General features: G+C 40.3%; 1 protein-coding gene and 1 pseudogene across 29 annotated transcripts in view; both read left to right on the top strand.

Moving 5' to 3' along the window:
• The window catches only part of RBFOX1 (RNA binding fox-1 homolog 1), a 2,473,620-nt gene that overhangs the window by 1,506,752 nt on the left and 938,884 nt on the right, over positions 1–27,984 (top strand). Inside the window, exon 1 of one of the 29 annotated variants that reach the window (NM_001142334.2) lies at positions 27,337–27,541. The exons of the other annotated variants lie outside the window; for them this stretch is intronic. The gene's annotated coding sequence lies outside the window, so the exon portion shown is untranslated. Of the gene's footprint in view, positions 1–27,336; positions 27,542–27,984 lie in introns of those variants that run through there. 29 annotated transcript variants of the gene reach the window in all.
• On the top strand, positions 2,436–2,497 carry RNU7-99P (RNA, U7 small nuclear 99 pseudogene; annotated as a pseudogene).

Consider the following 27,984-nt stretch of genomic DNA (forward strand, 5'->3'; position numbering starts at 1 on the left):
TCAAGACCAGTCTATGCAACATGGCAAAGCCTCATCTCAACAAAAAATACAAAAAATTGCCGGGCATGATGGCACATGTCTGCAGTCCCTAGCTACCTGGGAGGCTGAACTGGGGGGATCACCTGAACCTGGGAAGTTGAGGCTGCAGTGACCTGTGATTGTGCCACTGCACTTCAGCCTGAGTGACGAGTGAGACACAGGTGTCAGGGAAAAAAAAAAAGTGTTGTCTTATTAATCCTTAACTATTATTAATTAATTGAAAGTTTACATAGGGCAGAAAAGTGAAATATTGATACATATAATCAATACTTATATATTTATAAGCCAAAGTTTGCTAGTGATCCCAAGTCTGTTATAGGAATGTGAGATTTTATTAAGCATAACAACTCAAATGTTGATGTCCAGTTCATAGAAACTCCATCTCCTAGCAGTCTTCTCAGTATTTTGGGAGACTTCAGCAGGTGTCTCACTTGGGCTCAAACTAAAATCTCATCTCTCCTGTGGAGCTATACTACTGTGCAGATATCCCCTCACCACAGATTATTGAGGTGTTAGCCTACAGAAGTCCTAGCAGACCTCTGCAGAACCCCTCACGGTACCATAGCAGGTCCCTATACCATGCCAAATGGGAGATCCTTAAATTATCTTACTGGTCGGCCAGGCGCAGTGGCTCACGCCTATAATCCCAACACTTTGGGAGACTGAGACGGTCAGATCACAAGGTCAGGAGTTCGAGACCAGCCTGACTCACATGGTGAAAACCCCGTCTCTACTAAAAATATACAAATTAGCCTGGCATGGTGGTGTGTTTGAAATCCCAGCTACTCAAGAGGCTGAGGCAGGACAATTGCTTGAACCTAGGAGGTAGAGATTGTAGTGAGCCAAGATGGCCCCATTGCCCTCCAGACTGGGCGACAGAGTGAGACTCAGTCTCAAAAAGAAAAAAAAAATCTATCAGTCAGTCAGTCAGTTAGTCTGTCTGTCTGTCTGTCTGTCTGTCTGTTTATCTATCTGTCTATCTGTCTTACTGGTTTACTTGTTGTCACCTGGGATATGTAAGAAGCCTGTTGGGGCAGTATTCACATAATCTCTGTTAAAAGTGATATTTTTAGTATCTTCTATGGGTCTTCTCTTTAAACATCTCAGATATTGTCTCTTGTATAAAAAGTAAAAGTTGCTATCCCACACCACCCCTACTATGTCCTTCTGATTGCTGCCTTTTTTGCAAAAGCAGAAATATGTCTTCTGGGCACCATCCGCTTCATGGACAGCAACTTGTGCAAAGAGATTCCTGGGAGTTGTCAATCTACATGCTCATAGATGTCTGAATTGTGACATATCCTCAGTCCCTACCCGCCATCCAGAGTCATTTTTCTGACATAAAACTTTCATAGGCAATCCATACCTTATGGCTTCACCATTGTAAAACTGGTGGAAAGCACAACACGCTATCAACTTCAGCATCATGAGGATTGGCCTTTGTTTTCTAAATCCTTTCTCTTTTGAAATGCACCTATTATACAAGACTTAGGTTGTATGATTTGAAGGATTGTTCACCAGTAGTGACACCGTTATTTATTGAACCATTTTCCTGATACTTTTTTTGTGTTAACTGAACTTGTATATGTAATTATTATCTGGTAGGATCATTTTTTTTCCTAGCGTTATTTATGGCATGATTTACTAGCATCTCGTTAGGCAATAAATGCATATTTAATTGGATATCCTTATGGGTTCAGTACCATGCTGTGCATAAATTCCAGAAGTATACAGACCCAGCCTTCTTTTCTCTTTCTCTCTCTCTCTCTCTACACACACACACGCAAATACATACACACACATATATACGTACACATACACATATAACTATATACATATGTATGTATGTATGAGCACAAATTATTTGGGGTGGGCACTGTGGCTCACACCTATAATCCCAACACTTTGGAAGGCCGAGGCAGGAGGATTGCATAAGCCCAGGAGTTCAAGACCAGCCTGGGCAACATAACAAGATCCCGTCTCTCCAAAAAATAAAGATAAAAAATTAGCTGGCCATGATGGCATGCATTTGTAGTCCCAGCTTGGGAGGCTGAAGTGGATCTCTTGAGCCCAGAAGTTCGAGGCTGTTGTGAGTTATAATTACACCACTGCACTCCAGCCTGAGCAACAAGGCAAGATCCTGTCTCAAACAAAACACCTAATTATTTGGAGTATATAGAATTTGAACTTGTTATGCATGTATGAACAGAAGTTATTTGGAGTATATAGATTTTGAAGTTGGCTTAGATGTATGATGAATTCTCAGAGGTTATGATTAATTATCTTTACCTTTCATTCTATAAGATTTTATTGAATACCTTCTAGATGCTAGAATTTCAGCAATGAGCAAGACTGATAAGGTCTTTGTCTAAGGAAGAACATAGACCCCATAAAATTAGTGTTACAGTTCTTTCAGAATTTGTCTAGCAACCTTTCTGGTTTTTGCTAGAAAGTTCTCTCCTAATTGATAAAATAAAAATATTTTTGAAAGGGAAGAATTAAAAATCATGGGATTAAATGACAGGAGGAGCCAATCTGGGTATTCATAAAATGACTGATATTTCTGTCCACAGTTGAGTGAAAAGTATTGGAAACCAACATTCACTGAGCAACTACTAGGAAGGCCGGATGGCATTCGAGAGAAAAAGTTATGGTCTCAGGCAGATCTGAGTTTGGATCCTGCTCTGCTGTGCATTCCAGGCAAGATCGTGTTTTGGCAAGTTGTCTGTCCCATCTGAGCCTGGGTTCCTCATTGGTACAGAAAGTCAGTAATGACATCAACCCAATTAAATGAGAGAACAGATGCACACAGGACGCATTCCACACAGCGCCTGGTTCAAAGTAAGTGCTCAGGACATGAGTGCCACCATCCTTCCCCCAAGGAGGCATGAGATGGACCCTGGTTCTTGCTGTTACGGTCACTCAGGCAATTTATACTCATAACCGTCCGGGGAGGTAGGACTCATGTTTTCCCCACTTTCCAGATAAGGATACTGAGGTTCTGGGGATTTGAACTAACCTGCCTTTGACTTCATATCCAGCAGGCAGCCATGCCGATTTCAAAGCTCCTTCTCTTTTCATTCATTGCACCGTTTATTGACCTCATATACATTCTTCATCTCCTGGAGTGTCTCTCCTAATCAGTACATCAGGGGTAACAAATCTTAGTGACCTCAGTAAATAATAAGCCCAAAGAATTGCAGTGCACAGATTCTTGCTTAAGAATAACAGCGACTTGGAAAGTTTTTCAGTGTTAACAGAGCAGCCTTATGATTAAAATCACTGAAGAATGCGATGTAAAATGTTTTTATTTCGTTTTGCTTTCTGTTTCCCTTGAAATAATAGTCAGCAGGAAACACATTTCTGAAAGACTTCTCCATTTCTACATCCTCAGAATACAATAAGGGCCAAGCTGACTGTGTCAGGGTGTTCAGAGTTAGTAGGCACACAAATGAAAAGATGGTGCTCTCAGAGTTTTATGAATTTTTCTGTCTAGCAGTCTTGGGTTGGAAAGTCATCTTTGAAATTGATGTAGCTATCAACTAGGGGCTAACATTAAGATTTCAGTCGAGGTGTATAGGGTTATGATCTTTCTGTTACTGTCAGAACTGCAGCTGTTGTATTTGCATTGAGTGGCATGCTGGAGAGAGCAAAATGGGATGCAGGAGAAGGAAAAAGAAATAGCAAAACCTATTGAATTGTGGGCTCTACCTGAGGGCATTTGTTAAAGGTAAATTCATCAATAGCTGTTAAGTCATTTGTATTGAATCATTCTCATAGCCTCACAGCAGTTCTTAGTTTTAATAATGGGTCATAGAGAGGAGCTTGGTGATAGATGCCTTATTATGGTATTTAGGCACTTAATTGCAACTGGGCTTAAAATAGCAGCAGAAGCTGAAACCAGGGTGGCTCAGGAGTAAATTATGTTTTCAGTCTACCAAAACACCCTTTTTAAAATTCAAGTTTAATATTTCTTGACATATGTTTCTTGATACGCTGTTAACAGCAGTTTATCAGAGATAGAAGAATGTTAAAATAAACTGGTGACCGAACTATGGTATCTAAAGGCATGCCTTGTTCATCACCATCAGAGATATTTTGAAAGAAACATTGAGACCCAAGTTTAAAACACCTGCAATTATGCTGGGACAGGGGTGTTCATTGATTCATTCATTCATGCATTCATTCATTATTCGTCATTTATTGCTAATGTTAAAGGGATAGGGCAGTGTATGAGACAGACCCTTGCCTTTGTGGACTAATTATTCAGTGGTGGAAGTGAGAAAAACATAAATAGTTAATAACAATAAACGCCAAAGGGGGATGTGTGTGATGATGAAACCAGGAAGCTGAAATAGTGAGTGATGGTAGAAGATACAGTAGTGTTTTCTTCAGATTAGTGGGCTAGGGAAGTGCTCTTGGAGAAGAACCCATTTAAGCAGAGGTCTGAGTGATATGAAGGTGCCAACTGGCCAAAAAGAGGAAGGATCATTAGAAACAGAAACAGCATGTTCAAGGGCCCTGATGTGGGAAAGAACTAAAAGGAGATCAGGGTGGCAAAGCTTAGCAGAGAAGTCAGTGGAGGGGTAGGACATAGGTTTGAATAGCAGATAAAGGCCAGGTCCTGTGTGGCCTTTTCATTTACTTTACATTTTATTCGAAATACAATGGGAAACAATGAAGAGTTTTAAGGACAAGGGTATTGAGCTCTGATGTATATTATTAGGAGATTGTTTTTATTGACTCTAGAATGGATGGGGAGTAGGTGGCTAAGGAGGAAGTTGGCAGTGGTACGGGAGAGAAATGACAGTGCCCTCTACCAGAAAAATGAATGGACTGAAAATGTACTTAGAATGCATGCTAGTAGATAAAGAGGAACTAGCTAGGAAGTTCCCTAAAGGAGGGTGGTCTGTATTCTTGGGGCATTTGTACCCTGATGACTGAACATCCTGACTTCCTATGTCTTAGTCCATGTACAGCAACTCTTTGCCTCACTTGTAGGTGAAATGATTTTGGAGTCACTAGTTGGATAAAGAACTAGAAAGGTAGAACATACAGTGCTTCCTCTGCACATCTGATTTGGGAGTTTTGAAGTTTACTTGTCTTAGACTGCATGAAATGTCAAAGGAAGCCAGTAACATTGATTTATTTCTTGAGTCCGTTGGTTATCATCAGCTTGCTGCTTACAGTATACAAGCAGATAGAGCCAGAAGCGGCATTTCCAGGAATTGAACCTGCGTTGTTTACTGCCCCTGTGGTCTTATGAAGAATGTGTGATTATCGTAACCCACTTGCTATTATTTTCATAACAAAGCTGTCTCTGACCAGCTACAATCTTGGACTTACATAATTGAATTTTAGATGGAGATGCGCTGCTGGTTTATATGAATTTTCCAGGGGTGCCAGCGTGAGTCCAGGCTTTAACAAACAATATTTTTAATTGAGATTTTATGTCCTTGCCCTCAAATCAAGCACTTTAATAGGATCCCAGTTGGAATAGGTGACTCAGTAACAAGTTACCACTGCTTTCAACTTCAGAAAGGTGTTAATTTCTCTAACTCCTGCTGGGCGTCCATCTACTCCGGTGACCCACTGCCTGCATGTACCATAAAAACGAGTGTTTTGCATTCCATTAGTTTCAAAGTACAGCCTTAGTAGTCTGCATATTTCTTGTAGCATGTGCTGGCTTTGTTCCATCAGGCAACATTAAGATAGAAAAGTATTAAAAATATTGATTTGTCATTTATAACATCGAAGTGATAGATTGAAATGCAATTTGGATGTACTCCAGACCTCCAATAACTTTGACATTATCAGACGAAATACAATGATCTCAGTCTAATTAATATGCTGTGTCCATATGAGTAAAGTAGAGAGAATGAAGCAAGAAATTGGCCACAAGGAAGTGATAGCTCCATGTTTCAAGTAGTTGTAGAATTTAGAGATGGAATATGACATGCTCTGTCGCTGGACCTTGCTATGTGCTGGAAGCTGTGTTCTTTCCATGTTTGTTCATCTTTGAAAGCAAGTTAGCGCATTCCTAAAGAATAGAGTGATACTCTTCACTGAACTTTGTAAACTTCTTTAAGCTTTTTATTATGGCATCTTGCCATAATGTTCTTCCATTCCCCTGCTCTGGAATACCGGTAATAACTCTAACACACACACCTTTCTGCGTATCGGTTTCATGCAACAGGTGCACCTATCTTGATTTCAAAACTTTCCTATCCCCCTTTCCCTTACTGCTTCTTCACTTCCATCCTTTCCTGCTGGTAATGAAATTGTCAAACTTTATTCCTACTCCTATTTTTTTTTTTTTAGCAGGGTTCTGTGTTCTCTGTCAGCCTCTCTGCTCACATATTGCAGTTCCTCTGTTCTCCCAGAGAATTTTTATCTTCCTGTTGGCAATATGTTTATACGGTGTGAATATGTAATAATTGTACTTGGTTGCTATGGAGAAGGGAAAAATACAAATGTGCAAATTTCAAATACACAATTGTGCAAATTTCAAAATTTATTGTAACTTTTTCATAGTGGTCATATAGTATTATTAGGAAGTAATGGCATAAAAAAATACAAATATTGAACTTGAGTAAACATCATGTATACTGAAACTTGTAGGGGGTATTTTAATGATGTGTGAAATTTACTTTGAAATGCACCAAAAATAAGATGGGTTGATGGTTGCAGAGAGGGATGGACAGATGGAAATAGCTGGGATAAAGCAAGTATAGTAAAATGCCAGTAGTAGAATATAGGTGGTAGATATATGGATGTTTGCTGTAAAATTCTTTCAGCTTTGCTGTTTTGAGATTTGCATACTGCAGTATTGGAAAAATATGGTACAAAAGTGAATAGTCATATAGTCAACACATAGACTGAGATAAAAATTGTGTGCCTGCATTAATATCTATTCTTTTATTTAGGGATGCTTTCAGGACCGTAGTTGCAGGAAGATCATCTTGCTATAACCCAGTGTCCCCCTTTCATCTCCTATACCATGTCTCTCTGCCTGTTTTCTTCTTCTCTTTGAATATTTGTTACATCTGTCTTAATAGAGACTGTGCAATTTCATCTCTTCATCAACTCCTGTAAGTAGAACCAGCAACAGAGCGAAAGGGAGAAAAAGAAACGTACTTCTCGCCTGCCTTCCTTTTCTGTCTCCCCGTGAGAAGCCTCGTGCCCTCCTCCTGTCTTGTGTCTTGTGTCAGAGTTAGCGGAGCAGCAGCTCTGGCCTCCTTGGATTTATGTGATTCGTAGTGAGAGAATGCTGCCACAGCTGAGGCTGTTGCCTGCTCTACATTGATTGAGTTTCCTGGGCTTGAGGGATTTTTGCCGAGCTGAGTTTTATGGTTGATGTGCTCTCGGTCATTTGTCATAAAATCATTCCCACCAAGCTGTTTACTGGGTTTGAATGCTTAATTACTGAAGGAGAAGAGAATCACTCCTTATGGAGCTGACTGTTGACTTGGATGCTTTTTACTGGGTTGTCTTCTGGTACCCAACTCTTGCTGAGTAGTTTATCCAATATACATACCCACTCTTCAGCATAAAAAAATAAAGACACCCATAATTTTACCTAAGTATTTTGAGCAGTGCAAAGACATATCATTTCACTTCATATTATGACAGCATTTTTCTTTTGAGTACAAATTGATTGCAAAACTCAACACTCAGGCAGCTACAGCTAGGAAAGTGTCTATGCTCTGGGGTTCAAATGACAATGTTCACCTGCTTTATTCAGATCAATTTCCAGAAATGCATTGCTGACTCTCCGCCAACTCAATATCCTCAATCCAAATTGCATAAATGGTGTTGGATATAATTATCTCTCTGAAAAATTTCACCTAAATTGGAATTAAATTTATTTGTAAAAGCAAAGTCATCTTGGGAATTATATTTCAAAACCTACGGTCGAAGATTCAGTGAATGAAGCTCTTTCCTTTTGTTTCTTCCACAATTTCAGCTCCTCTTTTTCATGAGGAAAATTGAAGCACTCTTCGGGTTCCCACTGCTCCCTCCTCTGCACTAATTCCCACATAGAATTTCTCTCTACAAATTGGCCTCCACTAATTTTTTGCATTGGTTGTGTCTTGTTGAATTTTTCAGGAGCACACTTTTATATACGGGGATGTTGTTTTAGAGGTGGGAGAAAGAGAGAATTAGAGAGAGATGCAGGAAATGGAATGTTGTTTTTTTTTTATTATTATAGTTTAAGTTTTAGGGTACATGTGCACAATGTGCAGGTTAGTTACATATGTATACATGTGCCATGCTGGTGTGCTCCACCCATTAACTCGTCATTTAGCATTAGGTATATCTCCTAAAGCTATCCCTCCCCTCTCCCCCCACCCCACAACAGTCCCCAGAGTGTGATGTTCCCCTTGCTGTGTCCATGTGTTCTCATTGTTCAGTTCCCACCTATGACTGAGAATATGCGGTGTTTGGTTTTTTGTTCTTGGGATAGTTTACTGAGAATGATGATTTCCAATTTCATCCATGTCCCTACAAAGGGCATGAACTCATCATTTTTTATGGCTGCATAGTATTCCATGGTGTATATGTTGCACATTTTCTTAATCCAGTCTATCATTGTTGGACATTTGGGTTGGTTCCAAGTCTTTGCTATTGGGGATAGTGCCGCAATAAACATACGTGTGCATGTGTCTTTATAGCAGCATGATTTATAGTCCTTTGGGTGTATACCCAGTAATGGGATGGCTGGGTCAAATGGTATTTCTAGTTAGATCCCTGAGTAATCGCCACACCGACTTCCACAATGGTTGAACTAGTTTACAGTCCCACCAACAGTGTAAAAGTGTTCCTATTTCTCCACATCCTCTCCAGCACCTGTTGTTTCCTGACTTTTTAATGATTGCCATTCTAACTGGTGTGAGATGGTATCTCATTGTGGTTTTGATTTGCATTTCTCTGATGGCCAGTGATGGTGAGCATTTTTTCATGTGTTTTTTGGCTGCATAAATGTCTCCTGTTTTAATGCCAAGATAACCCGTCAGAACACCTGAAATATTTGCTACAGTTTTGATGTTTCATTTATCTCTTAGTGGAGCATTGTGTTGTTTCAGTGTTTTATCATGAAGAACTGTGGCTCTTTTAACTGTAAGGAATGAGAACTTTAGTAAAAACAACTTTTAATCACTTTGCTATAAATATAATACTAGAGAATTCGTTTCTTGGAGTATGATTTCCCTGTTATTCAAAAACAACTACTTGTCACCCCCTTGTACTTTGGCCTTCTTTTTTCTTCTCCCCTTCTTTTAACTGTTGCCCCTATTTGGAGCGATTATACTTAAAGTAATATGGATTCTTTCAGAGCTGCCAAAAGGTGAAATTGACTTTTTGAGAATGTATTGCTGAAAACTGCAGCAGATGCACTTTTTCCATGTAGAAACATCCTGTGTGTTAAGACCGAAAGGGACCATTTACAGCCAGTTTCAAATTGCTAGCTGAGGTCAATAAGTGCCCACTTCTGCAATCACATCAGCCCCGTTTGGATGACAGTACACAATGAGGTGCCTCCCAGGGAGTGACCACATTGGCAGCAAAACCCTTTTTGCAAGTTTTATTTGGTCATTCATAGTAGAAACCTTTAAAAATCTTCAACATTTAATTTCAAGCATTTAAAAAATATATACTGTAGTACCATTTACCTATAACTGGATTTATTTAAAAATTATATGGATTGGGGAAAGGACACCCTCTTCAATAAGTAGTGCTGGGAAAAAAATGGATATCCGTATGTAGAAGAGTGAAACAAGACCCTATTTCTTACCGTATACAAAAATCAACTCAAAATGCATTAAAGATTGAAACCCAATACTATAAAACTACTAGAAGTAAACATAGGTAAAATGCATTAAGACACTGGCCTAGGCAAAGATTTTATGGCTAAGACTTCAAAGGCATAGGCAACAGAAACAAAATATACAAATAGGACTATATTAGACTAAACAGCTTTGGCACAACAAAGGAAACAATGAATGCAGCAAAGAGAGGATCTGTAGAATGGGAGCAAATATTTGCAAGCTATTCAGTCAACTCATATCCAGAATATATGACAAGGAACACAGTCAACTCCATAGCAATAATAATAATAATAATCCCATTTAAAAATGGGCAAAGGATCTGAATAAACATTTCTTAAAAGAAGATATACAGGCCGGGCCTGGTGGTTCACGCCTGTAATCCCAACACTTTGGGAGGCTGAGGCAGGGGGGTCATGTGAGGTCAGGAGTTCGAGACCAGCCTGGCCAACATGGTGAAACTCCATCTCTACTAAAAATACAACAAAAATTAGCCAGGCGTGGTGGCAGACACCTGTAGTCACAGCTCCTTGGGAGGCTGAGGCAGGAGAATTGCTTGAACCGAGGGGATGGAGGTTGCAGTGAGCTGAGATCGTGCCATTGCACTCCAGCCTGGGCACCAAGGGCGAAACTCCATCTCAAACAAACAGACAAACAAACAAACAAACAAACAAACAAAAAACATACAAATGGCCAACAGGTATAAAAAAAATGCTTATTATCACTAATTATGAGGGAAATGCAGATCAAAACCTCAATGACGTATAATTTCATCCCAATTAGAACGACTATTATCAAAAAGATAAAAAATAAATGCTAGCAAGGATGTGGAGAAAAGGGAACTTTTATGCACTGTTGGTTGGAATGAAAATTGGCACAGCTAATAGGGAAAACAATACAGAGGTTTCTCAAAAAGACTAAAAATAGAACTACCATAAAATCCAGCAAAATCCCACTGTGGATATTTACCCAGAGGAAAGAAAATCAATATCTGAAAGGACCTGCACACCCGTGTTTACTGCAGCATTATTTACAATAGCAAAGATATAAAATCAACCTAAGTATCCATTAAGAGACGATTAGATTAAAAATGTGGTATATATGCACAACAGAATACTATTCAGCCCTGAAAAAGGATGAAATGCTGTTTGTTACAGCAACATGGATGGAACTGGAGGGAGGTCATTATGTTAACTGAAATAAGCTGAGCACAGAAAGACAAATATGACATGTTCTCATTCATATGTGGGAGCTAAAAAAGTTGATCTCTGGAGGATAGAGAGTAGAATGGTGGTTACCAGAGGCTGGGAAGGGTAGAGAAGGTGGGATGAGGGGAGGCTGATTAATAAGTACAAACATATGGTTAGATAGGAGTGAGTTCTAGTGTTCCACAGCATAGTATGGTGATGATGGTTAAAAACAATTTATTGTACATTTCAAAGTAACTAGAAGAAAAGATTTGAAATGTCTCCAACCATAGAAATGACAAATGTTTGAGGTGATGGATACCCCCAATTACCCTGATCATAACACATTGTGTGCATGTATCAAAATGTCACATGTACCCTGTAAATATGTACAATTATTATGCATTAGTAAAAAAAGATTTTAAACAATTACAACAACATCCAGGTTTTGTTGGTTGTTTTTAATGCGGCAGACCCTGTCCTCTATTACATTGAACTGTCACACTTTTAAGAAGTCAGTCCAAACTACTATCTTCTTTATACCAATAAGAAGGATCAGGACACAGAAAGTTAAGTAAATGGTCCAAGTCAGTAAATGGGGATTCATGATTTTGAAACTTTGTGGTCAGACTTCAGGTACTGTCCTCTTAATGTCTTGCTGTGAGATTTGAGATCCAAGATAACTTGGCATTGTTGAGATATTGGGAAGCTACTATCAGAATCAGTCCTCTGCTTGCTTTGTTGGTGTAAACTAGAGATAATTTAGTGTAAAATGTCCCAATAAAAATTTTCCCCCAAGCATATGTAAACCACGACATAATAGATTTATCAAAGTAGCAGAATGCTATTATGTTCAAGAGATTAACCAGACCAAAGCTATTTGTCATAGCAACGGGTGCTAGAGTTGACAAATTACAATTGAACCCAGTTTGTAGCAAAATGTTAGACAGAGCCTTGGCACTGATTAATTGACGTGAGAGTCCAGCCTAGAATACATTAGAGCAATTTAAATATCATTCAAAACAGAATATAACCATGCTCTCTAAAACATCCCAAACTGTACCAAGCAACTACATTTGATTGATTCTATAATGCAAATATTTTATGCCTAAGACTTTTAAAGCACAGACTGTGTTAGTAGCAAGACACACCACCAATTTAGTAATTTCTAATTAAAAAGAAAATACATTTTACATTAAATGCTTATATTGATTGCCAAGGAACCTGACTACAGGTCTTTTAAAACTTGCATCATGGGGTTGAGAGGGACAATCATCTCTTAGAAATTTCTTAAAAAGAAACTTTAACTCTGGGTAATGTGTTTACCCTAATTAGATAAGAAACCTCATCCTAATAAAAGTAATGGACTGAAGGTGACATGTGTTCAGGGAGTCGGGGGGGAAAGAGTTTAGAAAGAGGAAAAGCCTTTGCTTTCTAAGCTAGAAAAATGGATGTTGAACTTAAATCTATTCAGACAATGATGAGCTAGTCATATTGTCACAAGAATAGGTTACCTCTTTCTTGCATTTAAGGTTCCCGTTATGAAACAGAAAACAAGATTATATTCTACTGAAAATAAAGTTGAAATGGAGTAGAAAAAGTGGAGTTTCATATTACTTATCAATTCTTTTTTTTTTTTCTTTTGTGAGACAGAGTCTCGCTCTGTTGCCCAGGCTGGAGTGCAGTGGCATAACCTTAGCTCACTGGAACCTCCACCTCCTGGGTTCCAGCAGTTCTCCTGTTTCAGCCTCCCAAGTAGCTGGGATTACAGGTGCATGGCACCACAGCTGGCTAATTTTTGTATTTTTAGTAGAGACAGTGTTTAGTCGTGTTGGCCAGGCTGGTCTTGAACTCCTGACCTCAGGTGATCTGCCTGCCTCAGCCTCCCATAGTGCTGGGACCCAATTAATTCTTTAGTCAACCAACTTCATTTCTTGATATGTCAGTTGTCTGTGTGTGTGTGTGTGTGTGTGTGTGTGTGTGTGTGTGTGTGTGTGTGTATTTTCAGTTTTTGTCCATCTGACAGTTGCTGTTGTTTTCATTGTTAGGATATGAGTTCCAGTTCCAGTATTTCTGTGGCAGAGCCTTTTGTTCTTTAGCATGTAGGGATTTATTTAGGTCTATTACTTGTTTTCACTTTCTCTTTGCCTTTTCTTAAATTTCAACTTTAATAATAGCCTTTAATAGAATAACAGTGCATTAGCTTTCATTGACTACATGTATGCTGAAGAATTCATGCTAAAGAAATAATAAGGAATGTGTGCCAAGATGTGGCTATGAGGATGTTTATTACTAGATTGTTTATAATAGCAAGACAGTGGAAAATTACCCAAATGGCCTATAACAGCGAACTGATGAAATCAAGTATGGTATAAGGCTACAGTGGAATTCTCATTAGTTTATTAATCATTTATCAAATATTAGTTGAGAGGATATTTTGTATCAGCCCTTGTGGAGTCTCTGAATATGTAGCCTTCAAGGGCATTAATAGTGAAATGGTGGAAGAATCGTCAATGGCACAGCAAAAGGTGAGCATATGGCTCGGGGAGTCCAAACTCAGTGTGATCTTGTTTTCATTAAAAGATAAAAGGAAGGTAGAAATATGTTTTCTTAAGAAAAAAAAATGTACGTACACAAAGATAAGCATCGCTATGTTTGACTCCTTGGATATTTATTCTCTAAATAGTTTGTAATGAATTCCTCATGTCTTTAAGCAGGAAACAAATTGCAAATGGTTTAAAAAGGCAATTGCTTTAAAGGATTGAGGAGAGCATTGGCACCTATGTTTCTGTTATCTATGAAGGTGGAAGGGGAATCAAGATGGTTTCAGTCTTTTGTTTTTAAAGCAAATGGAATTCTTCAACATCTTAACTATCTTTTAACTCTTGCTCTTACAAGAAGTGATACTTTAATGTTTAAGAAAGGCATGTATTATTAAGAAAAAATAAGATAAAATACCAAGGATACCAGCAATCACAGCGGACTGAGTGGTATGTGAAAAGATAAACAGTAAATGCTTTTGGAAGGAATTGTTAGTCTTCTCGACAGTTTAGCATTTGATCTTGTTTTGCGTTGGTAGACTGACTTGAAGTACTAGACTGAATTGGGTGAGACAAATAAAAGCATATACTGGAGCAGAGAGATCCAATCTTTCCCTTTCTCTGCAAGGTTTGTATTTAGGTTATAAAAATAAGTGTAGGAGGGAAGATTAGGGCAAGGCACAGCCTTGGTGCAAGATGCAGAGATGAGCAGTCACGTATTTCACACAGAGTAGGATCAGAGATTCCAACTAGAACCAACACCAACAGTGTGTGGCCCCAGGGAGTGGCGCTGCCTCTGGTCAATGCCACCCACCAGAATTGGACTCTAATGGATAGATCTTCCTAGCACTGCGTCTGGTCAATGCCACCCATCAGGATCGGACTGTAATGGAGAGATCTTCTTAGCTCTCTCCCTAAAAGTTGACTGAGCCATCTTTCCAATTAATAAGAAAATACCAAACAGAACATTAAAGTTTATAGCTTCACATTTTTGAATTAAATTACCTATTGATTAGTAGGGGGCTATCATTAAAAATTAGCACAATCACGACTGACAATGCCTTAGAAATTTTCATCATGATGACTTTGATCAAATTGTAAATGTGAATCTGTACTTTATTTTAGAACTAAAGGAGGCAAATGAGCAATAAATTTGAAGCCCAGGTAATTGGGGGAAAAAGTAATCAATTTAATCCGTCCGAAGGGCTAAGTGATTCAGAGAACTGACACTTGGATATTTGGTTGAAGCCTTTTGTCTGAAAATGTCACTTGTATATGTTTAAGAAAATATTCTATACCAGACATACATTTAGTCTTTGCATCTCTTATGTTGTTAGTTTTCAGTTTTTAAGCATAAACTCAAGGTAACAGTTTTCCTGTTAGTTTTTAGTTTTTAAACATACACTCCAGGTAATAGTTTTCCTTTCTCCCAATCTCCTTTTTTTTTTTTTTTTTTTTTTTTTGAGACAGAGTCTTGCTCTGTCACCCAGGCTGGAGTGCAGTGGTGCGATCTCGGTTCACTGTAACCTCTGCCTCCCAGATTCAAGCAGTTCTCTGCCTCAGCCTCCCAAGTGGCTGGGATTACAGGTGCTCGCCACCATGCCTGGCTAATATTTGTATTTTTAGTAGAGACGAGGTTTCACGAACTTGGCCAGGCTGGTCTTGAATTCCTGACCTTGTGATCCACCTGCCTCGGCCCCCTAAAGTGCTGGGATTACAGGCATGAGCCACCACGCCTGGCCCTCTCTCTCCTTGTTGCTACTACGCCATCCAGACTCCAGTCACTCAAAGCAACTACATCTCTCATTCCAAGCAGGTACCTTCTTCCTCACTCTAATCCCACATTGTCTTCACCTCTAGACTGATGATCATTTATCTCTGACATTTTTTGTTCAACCACAGCCCACTTATGCCTGCCTTCTCACGTGCCGCTCAAGCTCGACAACTCTACAGGTGCTAAGATGAAATATAGTGTAGATGTTAAAAGGATTTCTCTGGAGCCTGATCTCCACATGTGGTTCTATCTTCTGCTAGTTGAGTTACCTTGGGAAATTAGCTTAGTTTTCTGCTACCTCTGTCTTCTCCTCTGTAAAATGTAGTAACAGTAACATAAAAATTCCATAGGGTTATAATTAGAATTAGATAAAATAACTAAATAATTGCAAATAATCTATTATGTAGAGAGTGATAGGTTATATATGTAGTGTCTAGAGTGCAGACTTCTAGTGAAAATACTGACTTTTGGTCTTCAGTAAACTAGTAATATGTCAATGTTGGCTTTTTCAAAGTAATTTTTAGCAACCCTTACTAGTGCACTTAGAAGGTAAATATTAGCAAACAGTACTTAATTGAACATACCACCACCGACAATGAAATTATGGATTACCTACCTGTAAGAACAAAAGAAAAGGTGTGAATTTTTGGATTAGTTTATGGCTCACCAGTGTTACCCCTTTACAAGGTATACGCCCACGGTCGTTATGTTCAAAGGTTGAAACTCTAGACTACTATATTTAATTCTCCTCAAGAATCTTAGATATGAAAGGAACAGCAAAAGTCATTTTATCAAAATTTAGTCCTGGTAGAAGAACTCCATTAAACTTGGCATTTGGTTATTTGTTTTGGGCCCCAGTGATTTGCTAAAGAATAGGTTGAGTTCTAGAGATAGAAAAATAGTAAGGTAAAGAGCCTTACCCCAAGGGGATAGGGGGTAGTCAGGAAGACAGGCAAGGAAACAGGCAATTGCAAAATAAAAACCAGGTGTTACCAGAGTCATAGTGGCTCTCAAAGGAGGTACCTCTCCTTGCCTTGGGTGGGAGTAAGTGGGTACAAAGAGAATTTCAGAGAAAGGTAGCATCTGAGCTGAAACCTGAAGAACAAGTAGGAGTTCCCCAAATGAAGATAGAGGAATACAGCAAAGAAATTTGCCCAGTGCAAATAGGAACATGCAAGATAGAGAATGTGACGTTCATTCATGGCTGTTTATTATTAAGGTCCTACAATATATCAGGACTGTATTACGAGAACTTATGTAAATGTCAGACCACTGTCTCCTCCACCTCTAAAATGAGTTTTTTCAGGGCAGAAACTGCCCAATTTATCTTTGCTAACCTAATGCCTTCAGCTCAATGTTTATCAAGTGGAAGATGTTCAATAATTATTTGTTGAAGGAATGAATTAATCAATAAATGGTTTATCACAATTTCCTCCTGTTAGTGAGAAGCAAAGTCATTGGAAAAACCATTTACCAGTATAGGGTCAGGCTAGACACTTGTAAGCCCATCACCAGTGATTACTTTCCTGTTGGAGAGCCATCCATTCCATCAGTATTGTTTGGCACAACCATTCAACCAGCAAACTGTATCTTCATGGGCCTGTACACCTGTCTTATTCATGGATATTTCACAAGCGTAATGGCAGATGTGTGATTTCTGACCTCTCCTCCAACCTGGTTGACTTGGGTTATAGCAACAGAGAAAATGAGTTTTGCTTGGGGTTATTTCTTAATAAGCTATCATTGACCATTAATCATCAACAACCACTTGCCTTTCCAGTGTCTCACCAATTACGTATTTCATTCTCTGTTCTACCTCCCAGCAAAGTATCGGGTCTGTTTTAGGATTTACGTTTTTATTAGAATGTTTGCCCCTTTTAGCCTGATAGCACGTTTATCATTCCAAAACCACTGGACGGATTCCACACAAACATTAAATGTTTAAATGTGTTCACACTGAAACGTGTGGGAATAGCAAATGGTCTTTTGTTGTAACTTTTGAAGATCTTCTGTAATTCCTCTATTTCATTTGCATATTGAAGTGCTTGCTTATGTTCAGGAACCTGTGCTTAGCGTTTGTATATGTCCTATGGTTCCCAATATTAATGAGTCCTGGAGAAAGTTGAATCTGCAAGTTTCTTTACAGTGGCCATCAGGGAATGAGGTAGCAGGATGTTAATGCTGTCTGCATGCTGTGAAGGATGATAAACTGTACTTGGGTGACCTTATTAATCACTCATAACGTGATCTTAAAGGTATGTGCATTTTCTGTGCCTCCCAGTCTTTGCGTATGGAGAGGGAAAGATGGGCATTCCCTAGTCCCCTTAAGCTCTAGGTGCCCTCAATATCTCCCACTTGAGCATCTGAACTTCATCTCAGTTTTATGACAGCAGCTGGCATGCAAATTGGCTGGACTTGAAAGCACTGAAGTTCACCTCACTTTGCTCAATCTGTGCACAAATGATCAAGCTCAGCAATTTTGAAAATGGCCCACCCTTTTAAAGGGAAAACCTGAAATATTTTCAGTCCTTATGGTAGTCGGGCCAAGCAGTGTCTGGTAGCCCATTCTTAGTTCTGTTACCAGCAGGTAATGCAGGTTAGCTTGATGAGCACAACTCTTTGTCTTCTCTCCACCTGTCTCTGTCCATTCATTCATCCCACGGATGCTTATTGAATGTCCACTCAATGTTGGAGCAACAACAGGAAATAAGGACATGGTTTCTGTCCCCATGGGACTTACATTCTACTTGGATATACTAGGGAGAAAAAAGAGTAAACAAAACAATTAGAGATGATAATTATTAAGAGTAAATGCATGGGCTGGGTGCAGTGGCTCACGCCTGTAATCCCAGCACTTTTGGAGGCTGAGGCGGGTAGGTCACTTGAGGTCAGGTGTACGAGACCAACCTGGCCAACATGGTGAAACCCTGTCTCTACCAAAAATATAAAAATTAGCTAGGCATGGTGACGGGTGCCTGTAATCCTAGCTACTCGGGAAGCTGAGGCAGGAGAATCTCTTGAACCCAGAAGGTGAAGGTTGCAGTGAGCCGAGATTGTGCCACTGCACTCCAACCTGGATGACAGAGCAAGACTGTTTCAGAAAAAGAAAGAAATAAAAAAGAAAAGAGTAAATTAATGGGATATTGTAATGGAGAATCATAATGTGTGTGTTGGCTAAGGTTTTCAGAAAAAAAAAAATTCATGGTGACATGAAATTTAAGCAGAAATCTAAAGTCCTAAAGAATGCGAGGGAATCTGGGGAAGCGTGCTCTAGGCTGATGGAACAGCAAGTAAAACGACAGGGAATCTGTGAACAGTTTACCTTGCATGAGGCTCTGAATGCAGCACGTGGTAAGGGAGGGGGTGGACTAAAGGCTGGAGGAACAGAATGAGGCCAGAACACACAGGCTCCTGCAGGCCAAGATCTGGGTTTGATTGCAAACACAATATATAGCTCAAGTTTACTTTGTACTCAACAAAATCCATTCTGTCTACCACTGGAAATAATAGCAAATACGGCTTGTTGGAAAGTCCGTGTGTAACTTATCTCTTATTATTGCTGAGAGGATCAGGAAAAATAACTGTTGAGTATTAGACTGAATACCTGGGCAATGAAATAATCTGTGGAACATACCCCTATAACTCAAGTTTATATAACAAACCTGCACATGTACACCTCAACTTAAAGTTTAAGAAAAAAAGAATGCTGGTGGGAATGTAAATGAGTACAACCTCTATGGAAAACAGTACAGAGATTTTTCAAAGAAGTAAAAGTAGGTCTACCATTCGGTACAGCAATCACTCTACCCAATACTGGGTCTCTACCCAGAGGAAAGATGCCTGCTTGCATATATTTATCATAACACAATTCACAATTGCAAAGATACAGAATCAGCCTTAGTGCCCAGCAACCAATAAGTAGATAAGGAAAATATGGTATATTCACCTTGAAATACTACTCAGCCATAAAAAAGAATGAAATAATGTCTTTTGCAGCAACTTGGATGAAACTGGAGGTTTCTTCTAAGTGAAGTAACTCTGAAATCAAAAAGCAAATACTGCATTTCTTCACTTGTAAGTGGGAACTAAGGTATGAGGATGCAAAGGTATACAGTATGATGGACATTGGAGACTCAGAAGATGGGAGGGTAGAAGGGGGATGAGGAGCAAAAAACTACCTATTTAGTACAACGTACACTACTCGGGTGGCAGGTGCACTAAAATCCTAGATTTCAACACTATGCAATTCATCCATGTAACCAAAACTAACCTGTAACCCTAAAGCTATTGAAATTTTTCAAAAAATATTTAAAAAGAAAAAAAAGCAAAATTTTAGATATGGAGAAAAAAAAAGACATGAATAAGAGCCCTTCAGTCCAACCAGAATTTGATTTCACTTTCCTCTCCTTGTCATTGTTTTTATACAGCTCTTTATCTCTTTCCAACAGAAAAAGTAAAGAATTTTTCCTTTTTTATTTAGTTTTTTAATGTTCAGAGTGGAAAAGACATAACTTTTCCTACTTGAGCATTTGTCTGTTTTTTCATTGTAAATATTATTATTGTCCCTGTAGCCTGGGAGGCCTTTCAAAGGTCACTTGGCCTTTTCTAGTACAGTCACATGCCCTTCTTCATTTTTAAATCTTTGAGGGGGAGAGGGGAATGAGAAAATATTCCGGAATAGCACTGTCCAATAGAACTTTCTGCAATGACACCCATGTTCTTTATCATCAGTGTCTAATGAGGTACCTACTAGTCACATGGGACTTGTGAGCACTCACAGTCAAGCTAGTGCTACCAAGGAGCTGAATTTTAAATTCTATCTAATTAGCCACATGTGGCCAACAGCTGTCATCTTGGACAACACAACTCTAGAGCCTCTTCTGAATGTTATGCCAGTGAATTCACTGAAATTCACAACTGGAATTTACACCAGTGATGGTCTTCATATGGGCTTCCGTTAGTGACTTTGGTGAAGTTTCAGGCGAGACCTAAAGGATGGGAGGGGATCTGGGGAAGCATGTTCTAAGCTGATGGAACAGCAAGTAAAAAGATACTCAGTCTGAGGACACTTGACCTGGCATGAAGCTCTGAATGCAGCCCGTGGTACTAGCCCTTGGTAAGTCGGGGGAGGCTGAAGGCTGAAGGAACAACCTTCCAGCTCAATTCCAGGTCATTTCTGGTCATGGCGAGGTCTTTTTCACAAAATAATCATTGTTTTCATCTATTCAGTATCCATTTCCTCATCCTGTGGTCCTATAATTGCATTTTTCTTAGGGGACCACCTCTCTTGCATTTTTCCTCCATACTTCCAGAGAGCTGGCTCCTTACCGAGCTCTAGAGTTGGGTATGGAACCTAAACCTAGCCAGCTGGCATAACTCCAATTCCCAGCCACAGGGACTGGCTCCTAGATGACCAAGTGGCTCAAGTCTCTCCAAGGAGACTCAGTCTCAGAACACTTGTTAAAGCTGTTAGAGACTGAACACATTGAGCCTGAAATTGATGGCCATTTCTCTGCCCCCCTGAGAATGTGGCCAACCTCCTAGAAAGACCACAGGGCTAGGACTGAGTTCCAATTCTCTGAATGTAGCCCTGCTGCAATCTATAATTATCCTGAGGTTTTTCACTTATGTGAACGAATACATTTCTTTTTTTGCTTAAGCCAATTTGAGCCAGTGTTTTAATTTAAAACCTCACCCCCAAAAAAATTCTGATGAATACAATAATGTCAAATATAGCATTTGTGACAGTATAAATCTTTCAAATCCCAAAGAACTCATCCCTAAGAAATTATGGAGAGGCTAGGTGTGGTGGCTTATGCCTGTAATCCCAACACTTTGGGAGGCCAAGGTGGGCAGATCACGAGATCAGGAGTTCGAGAGCAGCCTGGCCAATATGGTGAAACCCCATCTCTACTAAAAATACAAAAATTAGCCAGGCATGGTGACGGGTGCCTGTAATCCCAGCTACTCAGGAGGCTCAGGCAGGAGAATCGCTTGAACCCGGGAGGTGGAGGTTGCAGTGAGCCGAGATCGCGCCATTGCACTCCAGCCTGGGCAACAGAGTAAGGACTCTATCTCAATAATAATAATAATAATAATAATAATAATAATAAGAAGAAGAAGAAGAAGAAGAAGAAGAAGAAGAAGAAGAAATTATGGAGAAAACTGGACAAAACTGGGAGTACAGAAGTGGAAAATCACATTGTGAAGGAGCTAGTGAATTTTCTCCCTTAGTTATTTAGCTGGAAATATGAATCCACTGATAAAGGTGGATTTGCTTGGCCCCCGAGGCAGAGGTTGCAGTGAGCAGAGATTGTAACACTGCACTTCAGCCTGGGCAATAGAGCTAGACTCCATCTCAAAAAACAAAACAAGACCGAAAACAAAAGAAACAAGGACCTCACTTTTTACTCCATATACTTTTTTTTCCTGTTTTTGCTTTTTTAAACAATAAATGTTTGTAATTTATATGACAATAAAGAGTCTTATTAAAAAGTATTTCAAAAATTTTTTTTCTTCTAGGGTAGATGGTGTAGTTTTCTTATTCTTTGAAAATACAAATATAATTGCTCCAAGCAAATCAAACATATAAGAGTGCAGAGAGAGAGGGAAAATTCCCCCCCAGCCCACACAAGCCTTCTAAATGTACTTCCCTTCCCAGAGAAAACTACTATGAATAGTATCTATTTTCTATACATTGACAAAAATATTTAGAGATAGTGGGTATGTATGAGAGAAAAAGATGGATCAATAAATACACATCTACAAACATATATGATTTGGTTTAAATATCGCCTACCTGTATATATTCATTAGTATGCGTATGTACAGGCATATATATGTAAAATATATATGTACCTATATATATATATGTATATATGATATTATGATGATATTATTTTTCTTTTTTTTTTTTTGAGACTTGCTTTGTCGCCAGGTTGGAGTGCAATGGGGCGAACTCAGCTCACTGCAACCTCTGTCTGCAGGTTTCAAGCGATTCTTCTGCCTCAGCCTCCCGAGTAGCTGGGACTATAGGCACCCACCGTCATGCTCGGCTAATTTTTGTATTTTTAGGAGAGATGGGGTTTCACCATGTTGGCCAGGCTGGTCTCAAACTCCTGACCTCGTGATCTGCCTGCCTCGGGCTCCCAAAGTGTTGAGGTTACTGGCGTGAGCCACTGCGCCCAGCCAATATTACTTCTTTTTCTGTTTAACAGTTGATATTGTTTGGCTGTGTCCCCACCCAAATCTCATCTTGAATTCCCACGTGTTGTGTGAGGGACTGGGTGGGAGTTAATTGAATAATGGAGGCAGGTCATTCCCACGCTGTTCTCATGATAGTGCATAAGCCTCATGAGATCCGATGGTTTTATAAAGGGGAATTTCCCTGCACAAGTTCTTTCTTTGCCTGCTGCCATCGATGTAAGATGAGACTTGCTCCTCCTTGCCTTCCACCATGACTGTGTGGCCTCCATAGCCATGTGGAACTGTAAGTCTATTAAAGGTCTTTCTCCCGTAAGTTGCCTAGGCTTGAGTATGTCTTTATCAGCAGCATGAAAACAGACTAAGAATACAGCAGTACATCAGGAATATTTTCCATGAGCTACATCTCCACTGCAACATTCTTTTTAGCAACAGTGCAGCATTCTGTAGTTTGTATGTATATCCTTAATGGTTTATCACCCGCCTTTTAATAAACATCAGGCTGTTTCCTGTTTTTGCCTATTCGTGACAATGCTGAAACAGCTTCATTGCGCATAAGCAAGACTTCTCTATGGCATCTCCAAATGATGACTGTTGGCTCTAATGTATAATACGAGTGTATCTTCCATATCCCTCTCTGCTAATGTTCCCTGCTGATGTAGGATAAGCTTCTGTGGCTTGATCTTGGCTGATAATTTGGGTACAAATCTAACAAAGGCATGAGATGTGTTCTAAACTTACCTCTAGAAAAGTCAGGGTTTTTTTTGCAGCAATGATGCCACAAAACACATTCTGAGGACAACTCACCACGAGTTTGAAGATGATTTGTTTGGAGCGATTTGAAATCAAAGTTCAGATTTATTTCTCATAAGTCTGTTGTTTAGAGGGGGATTTCGTGAACTGTTCCTATCTATGTGCCTTATGCCTGCAGGCTACAGGTCCTTTATGAGATGGCTATTTTTAAAGGAACACCTCTATTCTCAGGATGGTTGACAGGACTTTTAATGAGGAAAGAAATTAGAAATCAGAGCTGGAGGCAAAGTGGTCAGCAGAAAGGAAAGAAAAACAAGGAACTTGTATTAAGCAGAAAGGCAGCTTAGTATACCCTTTCAAGTGTCTGTTATTGTAAATATTCTTGTATATATCCATTAGCAGTCATGGGTGAGAACTACAGAATTTTTTGGGTTATCATCATAGGAAAGTACTTACCACATCTCCACAGGCTCCTCATTTTACTTAAACTTGACCAAATCCAGTAGCAATTGAAACTGTACAAATCAAATAATGTATTTAATGCAACAGGGCAGGGGTTGGAAAACTGCAGCCTGTGGGCCACATTTACTCCACTTGGATTATTATTATTTCTGTAATAAAGTTGTATTATGTATACCCAGCTGCACCTATGCAAGCATATATTTCTGCGGCAGCTTTTGGGTACCACGGCAGAGCTCAATATTAGGATAGCCCTGCAAGTCGAAAATATTTTCTTTCTGCCCCTTTACGGAAGATGTTCGTCAACCTAGGGAATCTCACAATTTCAAGGTGTTCCCTGTTCAATTTTTTTTTTTAATGTGAGAAAAGAAATCAATCTCTACTCAGAGGCTGCAGAGCCTTCCTGGGAGGAGAGAAGAGTCCACAAAGTTCTCCGTCTGCCTGGGAGGCAGATGCAGATGAGAGGAAGTGGCATAGGCTGAGCTGTACCTGCTGGATTCATTCTTCTTGTCTCCCCAGTTGGGAAGTTAAGGAAGTTACTCTTTATATGACAGGGAGGAAATGAGCAATGGAGAGAGCCCATTTCTAAATAGTAGGGCTGAAGTCTCCCATGGATAATGCAACACAGTTGTCAGTGACACAAAATGATGTGCTTGGGTCTGAGAATTACCTCTTATTTGGAGGCCGAATTGTGTCTCCACTACCCCCGATTCAAATGCTCAAATTCTCACCCACAGGACCTCAGAATGTGAGTCTGTTTGGAGACAGGATCCTTAGGAAGTTAATTCGGGTTTCATGAGGTTATTAGGTTGGGCCCGAATCCAGTGTGTTTGGTGTCCTTATAAGAAGAAAAAATCAGAACCCAGACACACAGAGAGAATACCATATAAACAACACAGAGGGGGAAGATGGTCGTCTGCAAGCCAAGGAAAGAGGCTTCAGAAGAAACCAACACTGCAAACACCTTAGTCTTGAACTTCTACCCTCCAGAATTGTGAGAAAATAAATTTCTGTTGTTTAAGCCACACAGTCTACGGTGCTTTGTTACGGCAGCCCTGGCAAGCTGACACACTTCTGCTCAAGTCTATGTTGGTATCTTCTTAGATATGATGCAGATAGTACACAGATCTTTCTGACGCCTAAGTCAGCAGCCCTGGCAAGCTAATACACTTCTGCTCCTGTCTGCATTGGTGTCTTCTTAGATATGATCCAGATAGCAGAGAGACTTTCTGATGCCTAAGTCAGCAGTCCTAGCAAACCCTAGCAAGCTGAAGCCAACACACTTCTGCTCAAGTCTACCTTGGTGTCTTCTCAGATATGATGCAGATAGTATAGAGAGCTTTCTGATGCCTAACTCAGCAGTTCTCAACTGTGGACAATTTTGCTCCTCAGGAGACATTTGGCAATGTCAGGAGGCATTTTTGATTGTCATAATTAGTGGAGCAAGGCACTATAATGCTACTGGCGTCTAGCGGGTGGAGGCCAGGGATGCTGTTTAACATCTCACAATGCACAGGACAGCCCCCTATGACAATAAGTTACCCAGCCTAAAGTGGCAATTGTACCAAGACTGAGAGTTCCTGATGGGGCAGAAGATGCATTACTGTCAGGCTGTGTCTTTTCCCTTCTCCCCATTAGACCTTTGGTGTTCTTTGAAGGGGCCGGAAGAGGTTATCTCCTACTCTGGGCATTGTGTAGAATAGCTATATAAGATCCTCAAAATAATTGAAACGGAAAGACTCCCTTCGGCTCTTTCTGCCATTCCAGTAAATTCCTGCTAAGTATGCTCTAGGAAAACTATGAGGTGCTGTATGATTTCTGTGACAGGAACTGTGGCTTTCCTGAGGAACAGTCTTCCTTTCAATGCTGTTAACTTCCCCCAAGTTTGTGGTCTGTTGGTGGTTCCGGTGTGGGCAAAGAGGAATGAATGATTGATGGACTGTGAGCCTCCCAAGTAGAAGTGGGCTAGTGGGGAGTTTTTTTAATATCATATTTTATATACAACTGCAGGTCAGGCCAGGCTATGGATATACAGTGCCTGACCCTAGTACAGAGGAAGGATCGATTGTGCTCAAACAGTGAGCTATCCAAATAATTTATTTATGCAGCAATGCAGCTGTCTGCTTCTTTGGAGGTGGGCACAGGCTGGAAGGGTTTTGTGTGTGCGCACGTGCGTGTGTGTGTGTGTGTGTATGTATGTGTGGGCATGGGGTGCATTTGTATGTGTATGTGTGGGTATGGGGTGCGTTTGTGTTTGTATGTATATGGGTGGGTATGGGGCGCATTTGTGAGTGTATGTGTATGTGTGGGGTGCATTTGTGTGTGTATGTATATGGGTGGGTATGGGGTGCATTTGTGAGTGTATGTGTATGTGTGAGTGTGGGGTGCATTTGTGTGTGTGTGTGTGTATGTGGACTTTGAGTGCATTTGTGTGTGTATATGTGGGTGTGGGATGCATTTGTATGTGTGTGATTGTGTATGTGTGGGTTTGGAGTGCATTTGTGTGTGTGTGCATATGTTGGGATGTGGGGTGCATTTGTGTGCGTATGTGTGGGCCTGGGGTGCATTTGTGTGTATGTGAGTGTATGTGTGGGCATGGGATGCATTTGTGTGTGTGTGTCTGTGTGGGCGTGGGGTGCATTTGTGTGTGTGTGTAAGTGTGGGCTTGGAGTACATTTGTGTGTGTGTGTGTATCTATATATTTGGGTGTGGGGTGCATTTGTGTGCGTGTGTGTGGGTGTGGGGTGCATATGTGTGTGTGTGTGTGATTGTATTTGTGGGCATGGGGTGCATTTGTATTGGGCTTGGGGTGCATTTGTGTGTGTATATGTATGTGTGGGCGTGGGGTGCATTTGTGCGTGTATGTGTATATTGGGGTGTGGGGTGCATTTGTGTTTGTGTATGGGTGTGGGGTGCATTTGTGTGTGTGTGTGTGGGCATGGGGTGCATTTGTGTGTGAGTGTATGTGTGGGTGTGGGGTGCATTTGTGTGTGTGTGTGGGCATGGGGTGCATTTGTGTGTGTGTAAGTGTATGTGTGGGTGTGGGGTGCATTTGTGTGTTTGGGTATGGGGTGCATTTCTGTGCATGTGTATGTGTGGATATGGGGTGCATTTGTGTGTGTGTGTGTGGGCGTGGGGTATATTTGTGTGTATCTATGTGTATGTGTGGGAGTTGGGTGCATTTGTCTTGGGGGGCATAGGGTGCAATTGTGTGTGTATGTGTGGGTGTGGGGTATATTTGTGTGTGTCTATGTGTATGTGTAGGAGTTGGTTGCATTTGTGTTGGGGGGCATAGGGTGCATTTGTGTGTGTATGTGTGGGTGTGGGGTGCATTTGTGTGTGTGTGTGTGTATGTGCATGTGTGGGCATGGGGTGCATTTGTGTGTGTATGTGTGGGTGTGGGGTCTATTTGTGTGTGTGTGTATGTGTATGTGTATGTGTGGGCATGGGGTGCATTTGTGTGTGTGTATGTGTGGGTGTGGGGTGCATTTCTGTGTGTGTGTATGTGTGGGCGTGGGGTGCATTTGTGTGTATCTATGTGTATGTGTGGGAGTTTGGTGCATTTGTGTTGTGGGGGCATGGGGTGCATTTGTGTGTATATATGTGTGGATGTAGGGTGCGTTTGTCTGTGTGTATTTGTGTGGGCATGGAGTGCATTTGCGTTGCGGGGGTGTGGAGTGTGTTTGTGTGTGTGCACACGCACATGGTTCTCATGGTCCTCCCGTTTTCAACTGAACCTGTAATTAGCTCCTCAGAGACCAGGTAATCACAGTTTGCTTTTTCTACCTGTAAATGCTCATTGGCTTTCTGATTTCCCATTAATTTCCTAGCTTTAAATTACCAAGAATTGGACTTTTTGTAAAATACCAAGTTATCGGAACAAAGACCGGCACTCTGGGAAGGCAAATGAAAAATTCCAGTGTCTCTGTAACTGAGATTGCCTGTTATTAGTAGGTTTCTCTGTCTGTTTGGTTTTGTCTACATTTGAAAGGAAGCTTTTGAGGAATTCATGGAGCATGTCTACTCTATTCCCTCCCAGGTGAGATGGTGCCCCTCCAGGAAAGTATCAGAATGCAGCCATTAGGGCTGGACATTTCTAACTGGCCAAGTCTACACAGGCATAACAAATTGAGCAATTGTGGTTATGATCACAATTTCTAAAACTGGGACTCTAAATAATAGGTTCCAGAAGCAAATTAAATATC

The sequence above is a fragment of the Homo sapiens genome, chromosome 16 (assembly GCF_000001405.40).
Source record: "Homo sapiens chromosome 16, GRCh38.p14 Primary Assembly".
Classification (NCBI taxonomy): Eukaryota; Metazoa; Chordata; class Mammalia; order Primates; family Hominidae; genus Homo; species Homo sapiens.